Source organism: Homo sapiens, chromosome 6 (genome assembly GCF_000001405.40).
Source record: "Homo sapiens chromosome 6, GRCh38.p14 Primary Assembly".
NCBI lineage: Eukaryota > Metazoa > Chordata > Mammalia > Primates > Hominidae > Homo > Homo sapiens.
Window position 1 is genome coordinate 87078842 of NC_000006.12, and position 19708 is coordinate 87098549.

General features: G+C 38.0%; 1 protein-coding gene and 1 pseudogene across 2 annotated transcripts; one reads left to right on the top strand and one right to left on the bottom strand.

Annotated features, from left to right (window-relative positions):
• Positions 4392 to 4695, top strand: RN7SKP209 (RN7SK pseudogene 209; annotated as a pseudogene).
• On the bottom strand, positions 6657 to 16265 carry CGA (glycoprotein hormones, alpha polypeptide). 2 transcript variants are annotated; one of them, NM_001252383.2, is made up of 5 exons: positions 16172 to 16265; positions 9272 to 9366; positions 7676 to 7768; positions 7409 to 7593; positions 6657 to 6992 (listed from the first exon to the last, which is right to left on the bottom strand). In NM_001252383.2, the coding sequence occupies exons 2-5, from the start codon at positions 9357 to 9359 to the stop codon at positions 6915 to 6917; spliced, it is 444 nt and encodes a 147-aa protein (NP_001239312.1). In that variant the 5' UTR covers positions 9360 to 9366; positions 16172 to 16265; the 3' UTR covers positions 6657 to 6914. The 2 variants fall into 2 exon arrangements, with proteins under 2 accessions (NP_001239312.1, NP_000726.1); NM_000735.4 differs by lacking the exon at positions 7676 to 7768.
• Positions 16266 to 19708: the final 3443 nt, after the last annotated feature.

Here is a 19708-nt window from a genome sequence, read left to right on the forward strand (position 1 = left end):
ATGAAACCCAGATACAATATTTTCAGATATTTCAATTTGAAATTTGAGCTTACATATTTAACCTAAATGTTTTTCCTTTCCTTGCATTGACAAATGTATTATTGAAATTCTTATAATAATCTGAAGGAATTTTGGAATTTAGGTTTAGCTTATCAAATATTTCTTGCCAAGTGCACAAGTATTACAGCTGCCACCCCACAGGTAGTTGGATGTCACTAAAAGGGCACATCAGGAGCAAATGAACAGAAAGATCCCATAAGCATGAAGACAAATGTGCCCAGTCAGCTGGACCCATTCGGCCTAGCATCGCTCCCAGCCTCACCCACTGACTCTTCCAGAAGCTCCATGGACCACTTGTCCACAAGGGGCAGCAGTGAGTTCTGCAGCGGACTGAAGAAATCCATAGCTGGCAGTGAGGGAGGGCTTCTCTTTGGCCACGCTCAGTTTCACACGCTGTGGCCAGCACTTGTGTCTTCAGCTTCAGGAATAACAGAGCCTACCCCAGAGCTCTCAGAGCCCACCCTGCCCATGTAAACAGCGAATGCATCTCTGATGTTATCACTGTCTTCCATATCAGAGTGTGTCGCACAGAAACATAGTCACTAGAATAACTGTGGTGGTAACCATAATTTAATTTAGATGGTAAATTATCTCCCTAAAACCCAAGGTTAAGACTTTAGTTCCTCCAACCATAATTTCAACCCAAGCGCCTGCCAGCAACCCTTTATACACACAGCCTGTCCCACTTCTCCATCTTCACAAAGATGTGGTACATTTCTAGGTTACGCCCGGGTTTTCTTTCTTCCTCTTCCTTTATCCCTCTGAAGCCATCTTGGGCAAACCATTACTTCTGCCCCGGAGTTCATCTCCATTTCCTAGGCCTAGTCCTAATGCTGGCCTTGTCCAGTTATCCTCAACATGAGTTGCAACTGGGAAAAAGGTATACAGAAGTAAATTTGCACGTACTGAAATTCTACTTGCTGTCAACTTAACTAAGAATCAATTACTGTTCACAGACAATTTACAGCAAAATAAGTGACTATAATTCAAACACACTTTCTGATCAATAGCATTTGGAGAAAACTGATACAGTTTTAGTGCTTTTACTTTACTATTCTACTTTCTGCTAACATCCCATTAACGGAAATGGTTTTTAAACAATAGAATGTCTTTGTTGAACACTCTCTTACAAATTTTCGATAATGTGCCCAGCTTCTGGCTGCTTCTTCAGAGACTCCTCTCCTGACCCTCCTTCCCTCCTTTTTCCCAAAGCCTCAGCTTTCAAGTCCTAGAGATGAGTGAGCCCTGGGAGTCACATTCAATAGAAAAGTATATACTTTTCAGAGCATATGCTTTTCTGGAGTTCGGAAGGGAAATTCATTTTTAAAATCCAATAGTTATTTTCTTTTTCTGTCTCTCATTTTGAAGTTTGATGCAATAATTAACTTCTGTCTTTGTTCTGAGGGAACTCAGATCCAGCTTCAGTTCCTTGTGAAAACAGCGTTTAAAATTTGCAATTCCTCATGCTACCCAGTTTTGAATAGAAGAATATGGATATCCTAGTCGTCTTCCACAACACAGAAATCTCTTCATGTTTCTCCTCCTGAGGGATAGGATAGCTTTGAGATATGAATTAAGTTTCGAAAGAAAATAACTGAAGAAGTCGTTGAGTAAAGGAAGAAGAGCTATAAGGGTGAAGCTGAAGCCCAAGCTTCCAGACAAAGCATTAGTAGACAATTCACAGACCAAATATCAGATCTTTTAATAGAATGGGTTTTCAACCTGGGCAAATCTCAAGGAGAGTTTTCTGTTAGTGTCCATGGGGAAATAGTTCTTTGTAGATAAAGTGAAAACGTCATAGATTTGGAAGGAAGTTGGAATTAGAAAGAAGCAGCTCAGAAATGGAGATGCTCACTTTTCCTATACACATTCTTTGTTCCTATACAACCAAAGCTTTGTACTTCTGTTTATCCAATTGTCAAATGAAGATGGTGCCACATGTTCCAACTCTCAGTCTGGAAGGGGCTAAGTGAAAAACATGGATGCATTAGACATGGGAAGTTCTAAGAAAGTAGAAGAGCTGTATTAATGTCAGGCAGTTTGATGTTGTTTAACTTTTTGTCAAGTAAGTCAACCTCTCTGGTCTTATTGACGTTTGTGGTCCTAGCCAATTTCCTCATGTCAGCTTCATGGTCATTTGCATGTGTATTTTTTGGTTTTACCTTCCTGTCCTTTGCCAGATTCTGGATGTCCCTTCTACTTTTTCCATGCATAATAAAACCAAACAAAACTGTATTTGGACCAATATTTTATCCAGGATCCCCCACCCCAAGCAGTATTAGGGTAAAAATACATCAACATTTGGAATCTTAGATGTCAAGATTCTCACCAATTTAGGCCATTATTTTTCAAAATGCAACAATGGTCATATTACTATGATGAGATTATAGATAGAGCTGCCATGTAAGATTGCACAGTTTGTGTACTGCACAAAGGTGCCCATCCAGGAAGTGAGGGCTAACAACTATCCAGACCCCACTCCACCTCTGCCTGAGGGAAAAGATGTTTTTCTGCACCTTATGATTGTGAAGCCATTTACTCAAGGTGCTGTGCCTGCCCAGAGAAAGCATCCTTTTCCAATTTGTACAATAGTTGCATACAGCCTAGAGATCTTGATTATTTAGATTTTGACAGAGGGGAAGAGGGGTGGGCATGAGTGGGTGGACATGAGTAGAGTAATGGTCTATTCTTTCTGCTTGACTCCAGCTCTGCCACCTCTGAGGCTACTGACTCTCCAGCAGCCTTTCCGGCTTCTCTCTCTTCCCATCACACATTTTTCCTCTCCACACTTTTTATGCAGCTTCATTCTTCTTTCTCCTCCCTTCCTAGTATCTTTCTTTCCCTCTCATCATTTCCTGCCCTTTCCTCTCACTCCCAGGAGATGGGCCGATGGCCAAGTGCCATCACTGTTATATTGACCTCCTTCTTGAGTCCTAGTCACCAATAATATCACTATAATCACTTTGGAGTTTCTTCTCATCATCAAATCTTGACACAATTACAAAGTAGTAGAAGTCTTGCATCTTTGCTTTATCCTTTTCAATACTCTGCCAGACACCCCCCTTTCCCAGCCAACAAGGGTCCAGAACTCCCAGTGTGGACAGAACTGATAGTCTGTTAAACTTGTGTAATAGTTCATTAAACTGTTTATGGCCAACCACATTGCATCTCCTGGGAGTGTTGTCATTTAAAAAGCAGGTGCTTGGGATACCATGTTTTAGCCATAAGGAAGGAATCTCACAGGGGAGAATTCAGAGCAGCTTTCTAGCTGAGGTGAATGATGGACAATTTTTTTGATAGAAGCACCCCCTCAAACCTGTGCTTACTCTGCCTTAGGATTTCTTTCAGGTATTTTCACAGATGATCTTGAGACAAAATTGCCAGCCTCCACACCTGCATCTCTTCCTCCTTGCTGCTTATATAGCTGAGCTTATAATCTCTTCTCTAGAGAGCTCATATCAGAGCTTTCAAATTGACTGTCCCGAAAGTCATGACAACTATTTTCTCAGCCAGACTCATCCAGAAGCTTGGAAGTCCAGCAACTACCCTTCCTTTAATGTTAGCAGAACTCCTCAAACTCCTCTATTTAAGTACTCCTAATGCAAGAGTGAAACTGGAGGTTTGGGAGGGCTCAGAAGAGCAGGATCCGAAAGGCCCCACCCTCAGCATGAAGTTTCTTTTTAAGTCACTGTTTTTCTTCCTATTTTTGTCAATTTTGCATTCTATTCTATAATACATCCATTTTTGTTTTGAAGTAAAAATTACATTTCCCCAAGTCTTCAAGCAAAATTGATCCTGCAGAAAGGTGCTTGTTTATTCTGCAGCTTCTGGAACCCTCAGGCCCTCCAGCTTGAGAAACTAGAAGCCTAGTTAAAATCCATATTTCTTTGCATGTTATACAAGGACCTTCTTGACAGGTGCATATTTATCTCTACAGTTCCAGTCCTCCAACCAGCTTCCTGCAGTCCAAGCACACTGAACTCCTTGAAATTCTGTGACCATCTTAGTGTTTCTTATTTCAGAAAAATTGCTTATGCTGTTTCCTCAAACTAGAATGTACTGTCCCCCATCTCTCTGCCTATCTTCTAGACCCATCTGAAGGATCATATTGCCCTGTGAAGCTCTCTATGACAAGCCCCAACAGGCTGAATAAGCTATCCCTCCCTTTATGCCACCAAAGTTCGCTCTTCTCCCATAGTGTACATGTCTCTTGATTGTAATTTGTTGCTTACGCTGCCCTTCTGCACTAGACTGTAAATTGCTTCAGGGCAGGGTCTGTGTCTTATTCCTCTTGGCCGTCGCTGGACCAGCACCATGCCTGGCAAATGGTAAGACAGGAGGTAAGTATGGCTATGACATTTCACCCTAGTGCTCACCAGGGTTGACCTGGTTGAGCTGAATGGACACGGGGATGTCCCTGTCCTCTCTCTTTACTCCTCGAGTGTCCCTTCCATTCTTTCTGTCAAATAGGATGGTCCCAGATGAACAAAGACATTCTAGCCAAGGAGTTTCAGAAACTTTCCATCACTGATGAGCCCTCCAAACAAGCTCTCCAGACCCAACACTTAGTAGGTTCTCAGTCAATATCTGCTAAATATTTTAATGAACCAATGATCACCACAATTGTTTCTCTGATTAAGCAGTATTATATTTTCTTAGTCTTATCTTTCAGAGATTCCTGATGTCTAAATCCCAGCGATCTAACAAAATATCAACATTTACTATACATTCAATAAAAGTATAATAAGTAAATAAAGAAATGCACTAATATCTTCATGTGTCCTTTCATGTTTCTTAAAATGTATATGCACAAACAGGGCATGGTGGCTCAAGCCTATAATCCCAGCACTTTGGGAGGCTGAGATGGGGGATCACTTGAGGCCAGGAGTTTGAGACCAGCCTGGCCAACAGGGCAAAACTCCCATCTCTACTAAAAAAAAAAAAAAAAAAAAAGCCAGCCTCCGTGGCTCACAACTGTAATCCCAGCACTTTGGGAGGCTGAGGCGGGCGGATCATTTGAGGTCAGGAGTTCGATACCAGCCTGGCCAACATGGTGAAACCCCGTCTCTACTGAAAATACAAAAATTAGCCGGGCACAGTGGCATGTGCCTGTAATCCCAGGTATTTGAGAGGCTGAGACAGGAGAATCACTTGAACCTGGGAGGCAGAGGTTGCAGTGAGCCAAGATCTCACCACTGCACTCCAGCCTGTGCAACAGAGCAAGACTCTGTCTCAAAAAAAAAAAAAAAAAAAAGTACATGCACTTCCTATTTTAACTTACTACCCTAACACCTGATATGTTTACCAGCCTGCTAAGGAACAAAGAACTGGGTTGCCACTCAGAAATAAAATTTCGACAAATGGGTGATGATCAAAATTTCTTTCTGAAAACCTTACCGGTTACCAGTGTGATTATCTTTTTTAAATTACAGGCTCCATTAGGAGTAGAACTTTTTTGAGTAGCTATGATCTCCACCATGGCTAATATAATTTAATATTTATAATACCATTGTCCTCAAGGTAAGGACCACCTCTCAGTATAAATGCTCAACAGATGTGGTGTTGAAGCATGGCACTACTCTTAGGCATTTTTCATTTGTTTGTTTTTTTGAGACTGAGTCTCGCTCTCTATCGCCCAGGCTGGAGTGCAGTAGCACGATCTCAGCTCACTGCAACCTCCACCTCCCAGGTTCAAGTGATTCTCCTGCCTCAGCCTCCTGAGTAGCTTGGGATTACAGGCGCCCACCACCATGCCTGGCAATTTTTGTATTTTTAGTAGAGATGGGGTTTCACCATGTTGGCCAGGCTGGTCTCGAACTCTTGACCTCAAGTGATCTGCCCGCCTTGGCCTCCCAAAGTGCTGGGATTACAGGTGTGAGCCACCATGCCCGGCCATCTTAAACATTTTAAAAAACAAAGTGAATATGCCAGGCATCTGACCTAGACCATAGTTCTGAGCCAGATCTGAATGTGAAGAACAAAATCTGATGCCTCTGGTATTTCAGAGTAATGCCCAGTTTCAATTGGTGCAATGATGCCCTTTCCTTGGCCTCTATTCAATTATAGCCTGGCTGCCAGGGACTAATAAGATGAGCGTTTTTCAGCCAGGCATAAAGCAAGTAAATAGAAACTTCAGTCTGGGAATAATTTTGTCTTTCCCAAATCCTAGAGAAGTGTTCTCCCTTTTCTTTTTCTTTTGTTTGTTTGTTTTTTATTGTCCCCTTCTAACAGTAAAAAGTTTCTGATCAAATGTTCCCAATATATGGATAATTATTGATTTATAAATTGTATACATGTATTACCATACTAATGTATCTGTGCTTTTATAAAATCCATCAAAATGGAAACTTAAAAAGTTATATAAAAATTAATATAAATAGAAGTTCTTATATTTTCTTCTCTTGCCCTAATAAATGTCTTATAAGTAGCCCACTGGCTGAAAGGACTCACACGCTGCTAGGTGTGGTAACAGCAAGGCTCTCCAATGTCAGGTCACCAAACACATTTGGCCCCAACTCACCCAATGGCCCACTCTCTTCCATTAATGCTGTCCAAAGCAACTGGCTTTACTTTGAAGAAAAATGATAATTCAGTGATTGAATGATGATTTAAAAGGCTTTATTTGCAGTGGAACAAGCTAAATGCTGTATTCATTCCAAATGAAAAGAACTAGACTGCTGATTGTACTGTAGGATAAGGAGGAAGGCAGTAAAGCTGCAGTATATCCTTGAAGCGTGTCAAAGTGGTATGGTAAGGAAAAGGAGAGTTTTATCTCACAAAGCCATAAACACTAAACAACTTAATTTTCCATTCCAGAAAATCAGCAGTCATCAAGACAGCACTTGGTAAAACATTTAAGATTTGTGATAATAACAAGTACTGCAGTGGCACGCCGTGTGGTTCTCCACTTTGAAACCCCCCATTACTGTGACCTAAAGGGGAAGGAAAAAAAAACATATTATAGATTAGATGATAGATAGATAGATAGAGACAAAATTGAAGAATATTACATAAAATTGTTTGCATTCTGCTGAAATAAGTAGATGCATACTACATTTGCACAGTCTCCTTTTTAGGAAATATTTTTAGCACAAGTAAGCTGTACTTTCTCCCAACCTGCCCCTTGTCACCTCTACCCCTATTCTCCTCATTCTGAATAAATCCAGTCTATACCCACAAGACAATTGACTCTTTTAATTAATGGGTAGAAATGTATTCCCCACCTGTACAAATGCTCGACAGAGGCTGGGTCATTAGACACCTTTGGCATTAAATTCCATGGGTGGGCTCTATGAACATTTCTCTGATTGGGCTGTTAGAAAGCTTCTGGGGATCTTGAGGTTCTTACCCTGTTATATGATTTAGCTACACAGCAAGTGGACTCTGAGGTGACGTTCTTTTGGACCAACATCGTCTTCTTGGACCTTAGTGGAGTGGGATATGCTCTAGAGAAGCAGCAGCCCATGCACTGAAGTATTGGGGCACCCGGCTGGGAGAAGAATGGGTTTTCCTGTAGCGTGCATTCTGGGCAATCTATCAGGGAAAAAAAAAGGCAGAGTAAAATATCCAAAAAAGACTCAAAAAGAATCTATGAGGCCAGCACAGTAGCTCACGCCTGTAATCCTAGCACTTTGGGAGGCCTTAGTGGGTGGATTGCTTGAGCTCAGGAGTTTGAGAGCAGCCTGGGCAACATGGTGAAACCCTGTCTCTACAAAAAATACAACAACAACAAAAATTAGCCAGACGTGATGGTGCACACCTGTAGTCCCAGCTGCTTGAGGGTCTGGGGCAGAAGAATCGCTTGAAGCTGGGAGGTCGAGGCTACAGTGAGCCGAGATCATGCCACTGCACTCCAGCCTGGGTGACAAAGTGAGACCCTGACTCAAAAAAATAAGAAAAAATGTGGTGGCTCACGCCTGTAATCCGAGCACTTTGGGAGGCTGAGGCAGGTGGATCACCAGAGGTTAGGAATTCGAGACCAGCCTGGCCAACATGGTGAAACCCCATCTCTACTAAAAATACAAAAATTTCGCTGGGCATGGTGGCAGGTGCCTGTAATACCAGCTACTCAGAAGGCTGAGGCAGAAGAATCACTAGAACCCGGAAGGCGGAGGTTGCAGTAAGCTGAGATCACACGATTGCACTCCAGCCTGGGTGATAGAACGAGACTCTGTCTCAAAAGAAAAGGCAAGGCAAGACAAGGCAAGGCAACAAAGAAAAGAAACTGTGAATGCTTCCTTATTATGGGATAGTGAATATTATTTTTTCATCAAAAATGAAAGGAAACTAAGTAAGTGCTTTTTGGTTATATGTTAATCTTCATCTATAATATCTATTTAATATTTATACTGATTAATGTTCATGGGAAATAAAACTTAAAAACAAACATTTTTTACAGATATGCATAGAAAATCTCAGTTGTAGTCTCTCTTCAAGCATGGATTCTCTATCCCAATGCTAACAGTATGCCTAGAGGAAACACAAAACTTGACAGATGAAAACATCATGTTCATCTGAAAAGAGAATTTTGCACAGAGGAAAAATATTTTTCCCTTTAGAATCTGCTATTGTTTTTCCCACAGTAACTCCAAATATTGACAGAGAGAAATATGTCAGAATTAAGAAAGCTTGGTGAGTGTAGAGAGCCTGATATTAGATCACGCGCCTGCACTTGGGACCTGGATTAAAATATTACCACTTATATAGAGAAAAACCATAACCAATAGTAGCTCACAATTTCAAAGCAGAAGGAATTATACCAGCTACTATATGAGATTTTTCAGACAATACAGCAAAACAAATTTACTGTATAAAATGGTTTTGTTTTTCTCACTTGTTAACTGATGTGAAAATTCATCTACAAAGGCAATGTTAAAATCTCAAATCTGCCGGGAGAAATGTAAAAAATAACTGAGCTAACTGAATAAGGAGCATTTTCTTCTTGTAAGACTCAAGAATAAAAAGGAATCTATTTCCGATGAAAATGTATAGGCTGCTGCATAAATGGTTGTGTAAGATATCATTTTCACTGCACATTTTCTGAACCTAATTTAATTTTATGTTCACAATCTACAAGTGCCTAGATATGAATCCAGCAGCAAAGACTTATTACTTTTGAAAAGGTGGTAGAAATGTAATTAATGGAGTTATTGATGTACATCTAGAAATGTGTGTTGTCCTTATTACTTGAACCACAAATTTGGTCACGCACCCTGCACATCAGGAGCGGAATGGAGAACATGCAGAAACACCGACAATGTGACCAGAAAGATAGCTGCATATTTTCTGTAGTAATCCATGGCGCTCCTGCAGACAGACATGGCAAAAAAAAAAAAACAAAAAACAGTTAATCTAAAATTGGCTTACCAGTCATAACAACAACCAGTAGTTTCAACATTACTATTAATAATAGTCATCAGTGTCTTGACCTCCCTGCTTTTAGCTCCCAACATATACTAAAACCATGTAATTTTTTTTAAAAAAAGTTCTCCTTAGGAAAGAGATAGATAACTGAATCTTCCCATTTCTCACATTAACTGTAGAAATTGGTTTAATAATAATTACAAAAAATTCTCTTTTTAAATTCTTTAAAATTTAAATTTTAAATTATCTGTCATCCTGTTAAGAAGCCTCAATGTCCTTATTTGTAAAACATGGAACTTAAACTAGATAATACCTAAGAAAATATATATAAACTTATATATGAGATATAAAATATACAATCATTTGATGGAGGATAAACACAAAGTATTCAACATTATCAGCCATTAAGGAAATGCAAATTAAAACTACAATGACATATTACATATCTATCAGAATGGCTAAAATAAAAAATAACACCAAATACTGGCATGGATGCAGAGAATCCAGATAACTCAGGCATTGCTGGTCTAGTGGGAATACAAAATGGTACAGCCACTCTGGGAAATACTTTGGCAGTTTCTGATAAAACTAAACATGTACTTACCATATGCCCCAACAGTTGCACTTTTGGGCATTTATCTCAGAGAAATGAAGACTATGTTCACACAAAACTTATATATAAATATTCATAGAAACTTTGTTTAGAGTAGCCAAAAATTGGAAACATTTCAAATGTCCATCAGAAGGTGAATGGTCATACAAATGATGGTATAGCCATACCATGGAATACTGTCCAGCAACAAAAAAATGAACACACTATTGATACACACAGCAGCTTGAATGGATCTCAAGAGAATTGTGCTGAATGCAGGCTGAATACTATATGATTCCATTTATATAACACTGTGGAAATAACAAAATTATAGAGATAGAGAATAGATTAATGGTTTCAAAGAGTTAGCACTGGGAAAGAAGTGTATGAGGGTGAGTATGGCTCTAAAGGGATAGCACAAGGGAGCTGTGGTGATGGGACAGCCGCATGTTGATAGGGATGTTAGTCACACTAATCTACACATGGGATAAAACTGCATAACAGAGCACTAGTATTATGTGTGTGTGTGTGTGTCTTAAATCTGAATAAGCTGTATAGGCGGCAGCAATGTCAGTTCTCTAGTATTCACCTTGTACTATAGTTATACAAGATAATTTTCAATGAGGGAACAAGCTGAAGGATATACAGGACTTCTCTGTACATTTTTTGCAACTTCCTCTAAATCTGCAATTATTCAAAATAAAAGTTTTTTTAAAAAAATTCAGAATGAGGTTTAAAGGTACATATGAGTCAAAACTTATGGTTATTTTTCATGTAGACTGACATAATAGGGCTGAGTTTCTGCTAGATGTTTATATTAACCCATAATACTTCTTAGGAATAATTTATCAGACAGCAGAACTAAGTTTATAACACATGTTGAGTATATCTATTCTGAACATCTGAAATCTGAAATGGCCCACAATCTGAAACATTTTGCGCACCAACATGATTACACAAGTGGAAATTTCCACATATAAGTACTTAACAGAAACTTTGTTTATGCACAAAATATTTAAAATAGTATATAAAATTACCTTCAGGCTATGTGTATATGAAACAAATGAATTTTATGTTTAGACATGGGTCTCATCCCCAAGATATCTCACTATGTGTATGCAAATATTCCAATATCCAAAAAAAATTAAAATCTAAAACACCTTTCATCCTCAGCATTTCAGATAAAGGATACTCAACCTGTATAGAAATTCAGATTGTGTAAGTATGAAGGCTAAAACAAACCTATGTCATTATTTCTACCTAATATATATATTTATATGTAAGTAATTTTGAGTTCTATTTATCTTCACTCATAATTAACACTGAATAAATATTGTTCTAAGTCAGTGGTTCTCAAAGTGTGATCTGGGAACCCCAAAGATTTTCAGTGGATCTGTGGGGTTAAAATGATTTTCATAATAATACTAAAATGTTGTTTGTCTTTTTTTCCTCTTCATCCTCTTGGGTGTTCAGAGAAATTTTCTAGAGGCTACATGACATGTAATTTTACAACAGATTGAATGAAAAAGCACATGAGAATTTAGCTATGTTCTGTTAGGCCAGACGATGAAGAGTTTTGCAAAAGGGTAAAACAATGCCACTCATCACTAATTTTTTTTTGAAAATTGTCATTTTTAAAAAATAAATATATGTTATATGTGTTAACATATGATGGATTTTTCTAAATGAATAAATATTTTTAAACTTTAGCATAATCACTAAGCCATTAAATATTAATGGATATAAACTCATGAATAGAAGCTCTTTGGGCTCTTCAATAATTTTTTTTTTGTTTTTTTGAGATTGAGTCTCCCTCTATTGTCCAGGATGGAATGCAGTCATGCAGTCTTGGCTCACTGCAACCTCCACCTCCTGGGTTCAAGCAATTCTCCTGCCTCAGCCTCCCGAATAGCTGGGACTACAGGCACATGCCACCACGCTTGGCTAATTTTTTTTTTTTTTTGTATTTTTAGTAGAGACGGGGTTTCAGCATATTGGCCAGGCTGGTCTCAAACTCCTGACCTCGTGATCCACCTGCCTCGGCCTCCCAAAGTGCTGGGATTACAGGCGTGAGCCACCATGACCAGCCTGGGCTCTTCAATAATTTTTAAGAGTGTAAACAGGTTCTGAGATCAGTAAGTTTGAGAATACACAAAGCCATAAGGAAATGTTCAGAATTAAAACTAGTTTCCTTTTTAAACTAGTATCATGTTTGTGCCTTAATATTGCAGCTCATATATTATGAAAATTCAGCCATTATGCAGTGAACAACTATATCAGAATTAATTCAGAGAGAAACATTTATAATAAGATTTGAGAATGTGAAAGCATGAAGTCAATGCGCATTTTAGAATTGCCTTTATAATAAAGTGAAAAGAAGATTGAAAAAGTGAAACAAAAATCACTATTGCTGTAGCAGAAACTATTACCTTTCTTTGCCTGTATTTTGAAAAGAGATGACATTAACCAAGTAAAAACAGAATAGCCTTCAAATTCTAGGTGATTTTGAAAGCATTTTAATAAATATTTTTATCATCCTAATCACCCTCAGGTTTTTCTGTTTTAAAATTCAAAAGAAAATATTAAGAATCAGGGGGAGAAATTAAATTCTGCTAGGATTTATGCTATTTTGCAAAAATATGCTCAATCTAAAGTCAGATTTACTAATCTCAGCTTCTTTTGGTATTTCACATGAGTATTTTCCGAACTTCAAAGGCCCTGTACACACAACCTCAGACTAACCTGCAATACACACCAACATACCCTTATATCCCATCACCCACCACATCAAGATAATATGTGTCCAAGAAAACATGAGTTTTCTCAACTTGGCCTTCTTTCTCTCCCTTTTCAGTTCATCTACTTCAGAGTCTTTTAAGGAGCTGTTCAACAGCCAGATTCACTGTGAAGTTTTCACCCAACCCCAAAGACAAAATAAATATCTTTCTCCACTGCACTCACTTATCACTTGGCTTATAATTCTTAGATGATGCCCCACAGTCTAACCAGTTATGTACACGTCTATCTCTTCATCCACAAAGAAACTTTCTTTCTTTTTATTTAAATTAGAAATGGGATCTCGAGAGGTGGAAGCGGCAGTGAGCCGAGATTGCGCCACTGCACTCTACCCTGGGCAACAGAGAGACTCCGTCTCAAAAAGAAAGAAAGAAAGAAAAGAAAAGAAGTGGGCATCTCACTATGTTGTCTAGGCATCTTACTTTAAAAGGATTTTTTTTTTTGGTAATAAAAACAGAGCAGAGGAGCTGCAAAGTGAAGCCCCTTGTTCATTGCCCCTGTGTTTACTGCTATGGCAGATTGTACTTTCCAAAAATGGCCACAAAAATACCCCTCAGCCTACATTTATTTGCAGTGTGACCTTGTCACTCCCACGTCAAACAGTGGTATGTCTGTCTTTGTATTTTTATCTTTGTACCCCATTTCATCTACATAGGCCCTTGACTGCTTAGATCAGGAATATAGCAGTAGTGACACTGGGCAAGTAGTAGGTATATCCCTTAACTGACCTGGCAGTTCCTGCTTCCCATCTCTTAGAAGCCGAGGTGGGAGGATCACTGGAGCCTGAGTGAATGAGGCTGCAGTGAACTGGGATCGAGCCACTGTACTCCAGCCTGGGAGACAGTGAGAAACCCCGTCTTGAAAACAAAAAAGAGAGAGAGAGAGAGAGAAAGAAAGAAAAAGAAAAGAAGAGGAGAGGAGAGGAGAGGGGAAGAGGGGAAAGGAGAGGAAAAGAAAGAAAGAGAGAGAGAAAAGAAAAAAGAAAAGAAAAGAGAGCAAGTTCAGGTATTTTAAACTGATCAAGCTATAAGGACTGTCTGCAGTGGGGAACAACAGGGGAACAGGGAAAGGGGAAAAAGCATTAGCTTTCTTTTTTTTTTTTTTTTTTTTTTTGAGACATGGTCTCACTCTGTGGATCAGGCTGGAGTGTAGTGCCACTATCACGGCTCATTACAGTCTCAACTTCCCAAGCTCAGGTGATCCTCCCATCTTAGCCTCCCGGGTAACTGGGACAACAGGAGTGTGCCAGCAAGCCCGGCTAATTTGGGAGTGGTTTTTTGTGTTTGTTTTTTTGTTTTGTTTTGTTTGTAGAGACAGGGTTTCTCTATGTTGCCCAGGCTGATCTTCAACTCCTGGGCTCAAGTGATATCCCCGGCTCTGCCTCCCAAAGTGCTAGAATTTCAGGCGTGAGCCCCCGTGCCCAGTCAGCATTGGCTTTCACATACATTCACTTGCTTTATTTTCTTTACACCTGTGTCATATATTAAAAAACTACACATTAGAGAATTTAAAAGATTTGCCAAAGTTGCTCAGAAAGTGATCTGATGCTAAGATGGTGTCCTTCCACTTGTACTACCCCTATAGCCTAGAAGTATACCATTAATCCATGTCCTCCTTTATAACTTGGAGTCACACATGGATCATGCTGTTTCAGTTATCTTGTCTAATTTGATTTCTAACATTGTTATTGATTCTACCCCTAAGTGCCCCACCTTAAACCACAGAGTGTTAAAGATGCTGGATCATTTCTACAATGTTATCTCTAAGCCTGGTGAACCAAGAAATTGCTAGACTACTTTGTGCAACATTACAATGGCACTGCTGTAACATTATATGCCAAATCCAGAATGTGCAAAGATCAGAAGTTGATAGCAAACTACTCTAGGATTCACAACCTGTAAAAATGAAGTTTGGTGCTATGAACCATGCTGTTCTCAAAAGAAATGTAAGTTCACTCCTGTAAATTTTCTCTTTGAGAAAGTAGATTACTTTGATGTGCTTTTAAGCAAGACGTACATTACCTTCTAAGTTAGCCATTTCTGTTACCCAGCTCTTACTTTGAGTTTTCATGTAAATTTGGGTCTCACATTAAAAAGAAATGTACACTGCAACTGAAAATCTGCTCTGGAACATAATTAATTGCTTTTCTAACATTTTTCTCACACACTACCCTTTTCAGCAGGAAATGGTAAGGAATATGACTCACTTAAAATTTCAATGACTCTTACTGCAAAAAAAATAATAAACTTAAGAAAACCAAAGTTGAAATTAACATGAAAAACCACGAACCTTTTATAAATGATGACCACTCTTGTCTTTTTTAAATAATTCAAGAATATAGCAATGTATTACATGCAATTTGGTTGACCAATATTATGAATAATTGAATTGGTATTAAGTCAAGTAATTATTTAAAAGATATTTTCAGAAACTTTAAAAGATTCCTTTTCTAAAGCAAAATATCTGACTTTTGACTGGGAAAAAGATTGAAGAGCTTAAGAAACAAAATATCTACAGAGATGAAAGGGAGCTTCTGCATTCCTAAGGGACCCATATAGTGTCAGCCCATAGTTCTTCACACGTGCCCATAGCCTATTCTTCAACGCTAATAAGGAGGGACAAAAAAGGTCTTTTATTTTCTAGTGTCTATTTCCCAATCAGCCACCAATTAATGCTAATGCTAAGATAACCAAGGTTAGCTGCAAAAAAGTTTCCAGAAACTCATTGGAACTAATCAATTAGACTTGGGCAAGTGACTTATCATTGCAAATTCATGAATAATAGCTAGAGAAATACTACCAACTTTGATTTTTGTAGCATTTTATTAAAGAAGAAAAATGAAAACAACGACATTCAAGAAATTCCATGCTACTATTCAAGTCTGCATGAGAACATCTATTCAAAAGATAATCAGAAGCTATAGTCATTCAGCTGAACAAGTGAACCACTTTATCATGGGCCAGCTTGAAGATATAGCTATACATCACTTAAAAATGGATAATAAAACAATATCATAATGTCTACTTGCCCTCTGTCTGGCTCCTGGAAGCCACTCAAAAGAACGTCTTTCCAATGACATACAGTAATTCTTGAGGAAAATTTTTAGATCCTGACAGGCACTCAAGCATCTCAGCAGGAGACATTGGGTTTCTGGCTTCTGTTAGATAACATCTTACCCTATGATCACAGCCAAATTTTACAGACTTCCTTCTAATTCAATCATAAGTGCTGAAAAGAGAATGAGTAAAAGCCTGTCTCAGTTCTTATTAAGGTATATGCAGAGACTTTGGAATCTTCCTCATATTCTCAAATATTTTACTCCTCAATTAAAGTCCCCCAAAATTATTTCATTCATATTACCTTTCTCTGGGCTTTTTGCAGGATGTGTTCAGGGCGGTTGACTGTGGATCCGAAGAGGGATTTTAGCTTCGTCTTATGAGTTCTCAGTAACTGCAGTTAATGAAGTCCTCACCTGCTTTTATACCAGCAGAGTGTTTCCACCTGCATCTAAGCCCTGGGATCAACAGGAAATTCCATCCAATGATTGAAGGGTACTTGGTGTAATTACCATGACGTCAATTTTTACCATGACGTCAATTTGATCTTATCTTGTTTCAACCCTTAGGTCATTTTTGTTTGGAGCCATTTTCAGGTGATGGTGACGACAAGGTCAGCCCATGAAAAGAGAGTACGCTGTCACTTTGTACGTAATTTTATTGAGCCATACACATAACATCCTGAAAGCTGACACTTTCCTATAAACAAGAGACATTTAATTAGCTAAGTACCTGATATTTACCTAAACAAGAGCTATAGATTTCCGAAAATAGATATAGAGCATTTCCAGGCTTATACCACTATTTAATTAGGAAACAGAAAAATAAAACACACACCTATTTAGACTTTTCTAAAATTAATTTGCATCTGAATTTAATAAAGATGCATGAGAAAGGTATGAGGCAATTCTAAGAAGGACTGAATGGTTCTCAATATACGTGCCTGGTTTTTGGTTTTTTTTTTTTTCTCATTTCACTTTTGTAAAGCTCAGTTTCTGCCTGAACAGAAAATATGTATGTCATGGCTTGCCAGGTGTGGGACACTTAGCTCCAAGGTTCCCAACCCAGTGTCACCCTAAAACCTGCACAGCTCTTCAGACTACTGTGGCTTCTTTTTTGCACACAGAGATTATGACCCTTCAAAAGTTCCTATCTTTATCTACTCCGCTCAGTGCCACTTCCGTAAGGAACTGGCTTAGATACAGACTACCAAGGACCTCTTCAACAAAGAGTTTAGAAGATCTATGTGATGCAAAAAGCAATTCTTGTTTAACATAAAGAAACTTGCCAAAGAACGCAAAGTTGTTTTGTGATTTATTTTCTGTGATAAACAAATTTGTTTAGGTTCTTACACCTTTTCAGATTTCCGTTGTTTCCTTCCAGTATGCATCCCAACCATTCACCTTTTCTTAGTGATGCTCCTTTTTGGGGGACGAGTGGGGGAGACGGAATCTCGCTCTGTCTCCCAAGCTGGAGTGCAGTGGCACAATCTCACTGCAGTCTACACCTCCCGGGTTCAAGCACTTCTCCTGCCTCAGCCTCCGAGTAGCTGGGACTACAGGTGTGCGCCATAATGCCTGGCTAATTTTTGTATTTTTGGTAGAGACAGGAGTTTCACCATGTTGGCCAGGCTGGTTTAACCCCTGACCTCAAGTGATCCACCCACCTCGGCTTCCAAAAGTGCTGGGATCACAGGCATGAGCCACCGTGCCGGGCCTTCCTAGTGATGATTGATGCCACCATTATTCAAGAATTTCTACATTTAAATATCAACCAACTGGCAGTATATTTTCAATGTAGCAGACTTATTTTGAAAATCTTTCCATCTAGGCATTTCACTCTTCTTTGTTCTATTCTTTCTCTTTTATTTGTGCCTTCTTTACATCCTTTTATTTCTTTTTTATCTGAATGATTACATAGAAACAATGTTTCTAGGATGCTCTTATTAAATTATTTTTGTTTGGCTTATGATTTCATAGTGGATTTTATTTTTATTTCACATTTCTATATAAGAATTATGAATATTAGGGAATTCTTATGAAAATGTTTATTGTGTTTTTAAAGTTTACATACTGTTTTTTAATTTTTTTAGTGATGTGGCTACATAAATAATACAAAAGTCAGTGCCTTTAACACCTGACTTATCTTCCCCATTTCCTCAATTATTCTACTCAGAAGCAATGTTTCCAGTTTCTTACTTGTGTTTCTGCAGATACTCTATGTATATACAAACAAATTATATTTAAGTCTCCATCCCTGTTGAAATTCTCCTTAAAATAACAAACAGAATACAAAAATTAGAGGAACCCCTGCCTTTGTGCTTAGAGAATCTCTGTTGGTATGGTATAAATTATACTTCTCTGTACTTTCTACAACAAACATATATTACTTTTATAATTGGGGAAAGTACTGTTAACAAAAACATGTTTCTAAGTTTCACTATTTCATGTGGCTGCTTCCATTTATTATTGACAGTTTTATCCCATATCTGATAGTTCTATTTTCTATTTTCTTTACTCTGGGTAAGAGCAGGTTTGGTGGGTGAAGGATAAAAATACCACTCCTCAGTCATTGACAGTTACCTCCCAGCTGCTAAAGTTTGAAGCATCTGTCACCAAAAAGATAGGCTGGCTGAAGAACTGGGATGACACAGGGCAACTCGCCACCTTTACTAGGCAAGGTCCTGAGAGCCCTATAGAGTATACAGGTCAGGAACTTCTTTGCAAAGCAGTATGACACAGTTAAGTATGTACACACTATGTTAAATGCATGAGTTTTTTTCCTAATGAAGTTTTGCATTTACACGCTGAATTTTTTTAAATAACCATCTTTGTAAATGTTTCATATGCTTACTTGATTGTTTTATTCAACATAATTTGAACTTTCTAATAGCAAAACATGATTATCACAAACATTATGCTGTAATCAGAACAGCTCAGGTATGTAAAATCCTTGCATTTCCAAGTGGCTTTTTCTTTGGTAATTTTAACGATACATTACACAATTTTAAATTTTCAAGTAGTAGAAAAGTATATACAATGAAAAATAAGTCTTCCTCTTACTCCAAAATCCTTAATTCCATTCCCAAAGGTATTTATTTTTTAAAATTTCTTAATGTTTCCAGAAATTTACTATGTATATACATACATTTTCGGGGGTTTTGCTGTATACAAATAGAAACACAAGATACACATTGTTTAGTGCCTTGCCTTCTTTCTGTTTTTAAAAACATAACAATGTATCTTGGTGGTTTCTTTCATATCCAAATGTGTGGATCTAACCCATACTTTTGAATATTGCAAGATATAAAGGACCATGAATTATTCAACCAGCATTCTATTAATGACCATTTGCATCATTTCCAGTTTTTAAATGTTATAAACAATATTATAATTATCATCTTGCTCTGGTTACATATATAATTATAGTTCTAGAATAAGTTTTTAGAAGTGGAATTGTTGGATCAAAGAATATGAGTATTTTAAACTTGAGTAGAAGTTGCTCAGGTACTCACTCTTCTCCACCCCTCCTCAAAGTTAATGCTATGAAATATGTTAATTTTTGTTGAACTAACAGATGAAAAACAATATTTTATTTTTATTTGCATGTAAATAATTTTGAGCAGGACTGAACATAATTTCATAAGTTGTGGTCATTTAGAATTTTTTTTCTGTGAACTGCCTGTTCAAAAATCTTTCTCAAGTTCTTAATTCTGTCTTTAATTTTAAGTTTGACTTTTGACTCTTTTATGGTAGTTTTACAGTTGTTTTTATGAGGTCAAATTTATGTATCTTTTACTTTTAGACTTGCAGAGTTTATGTAATGCCAAGATTCTAAAAAG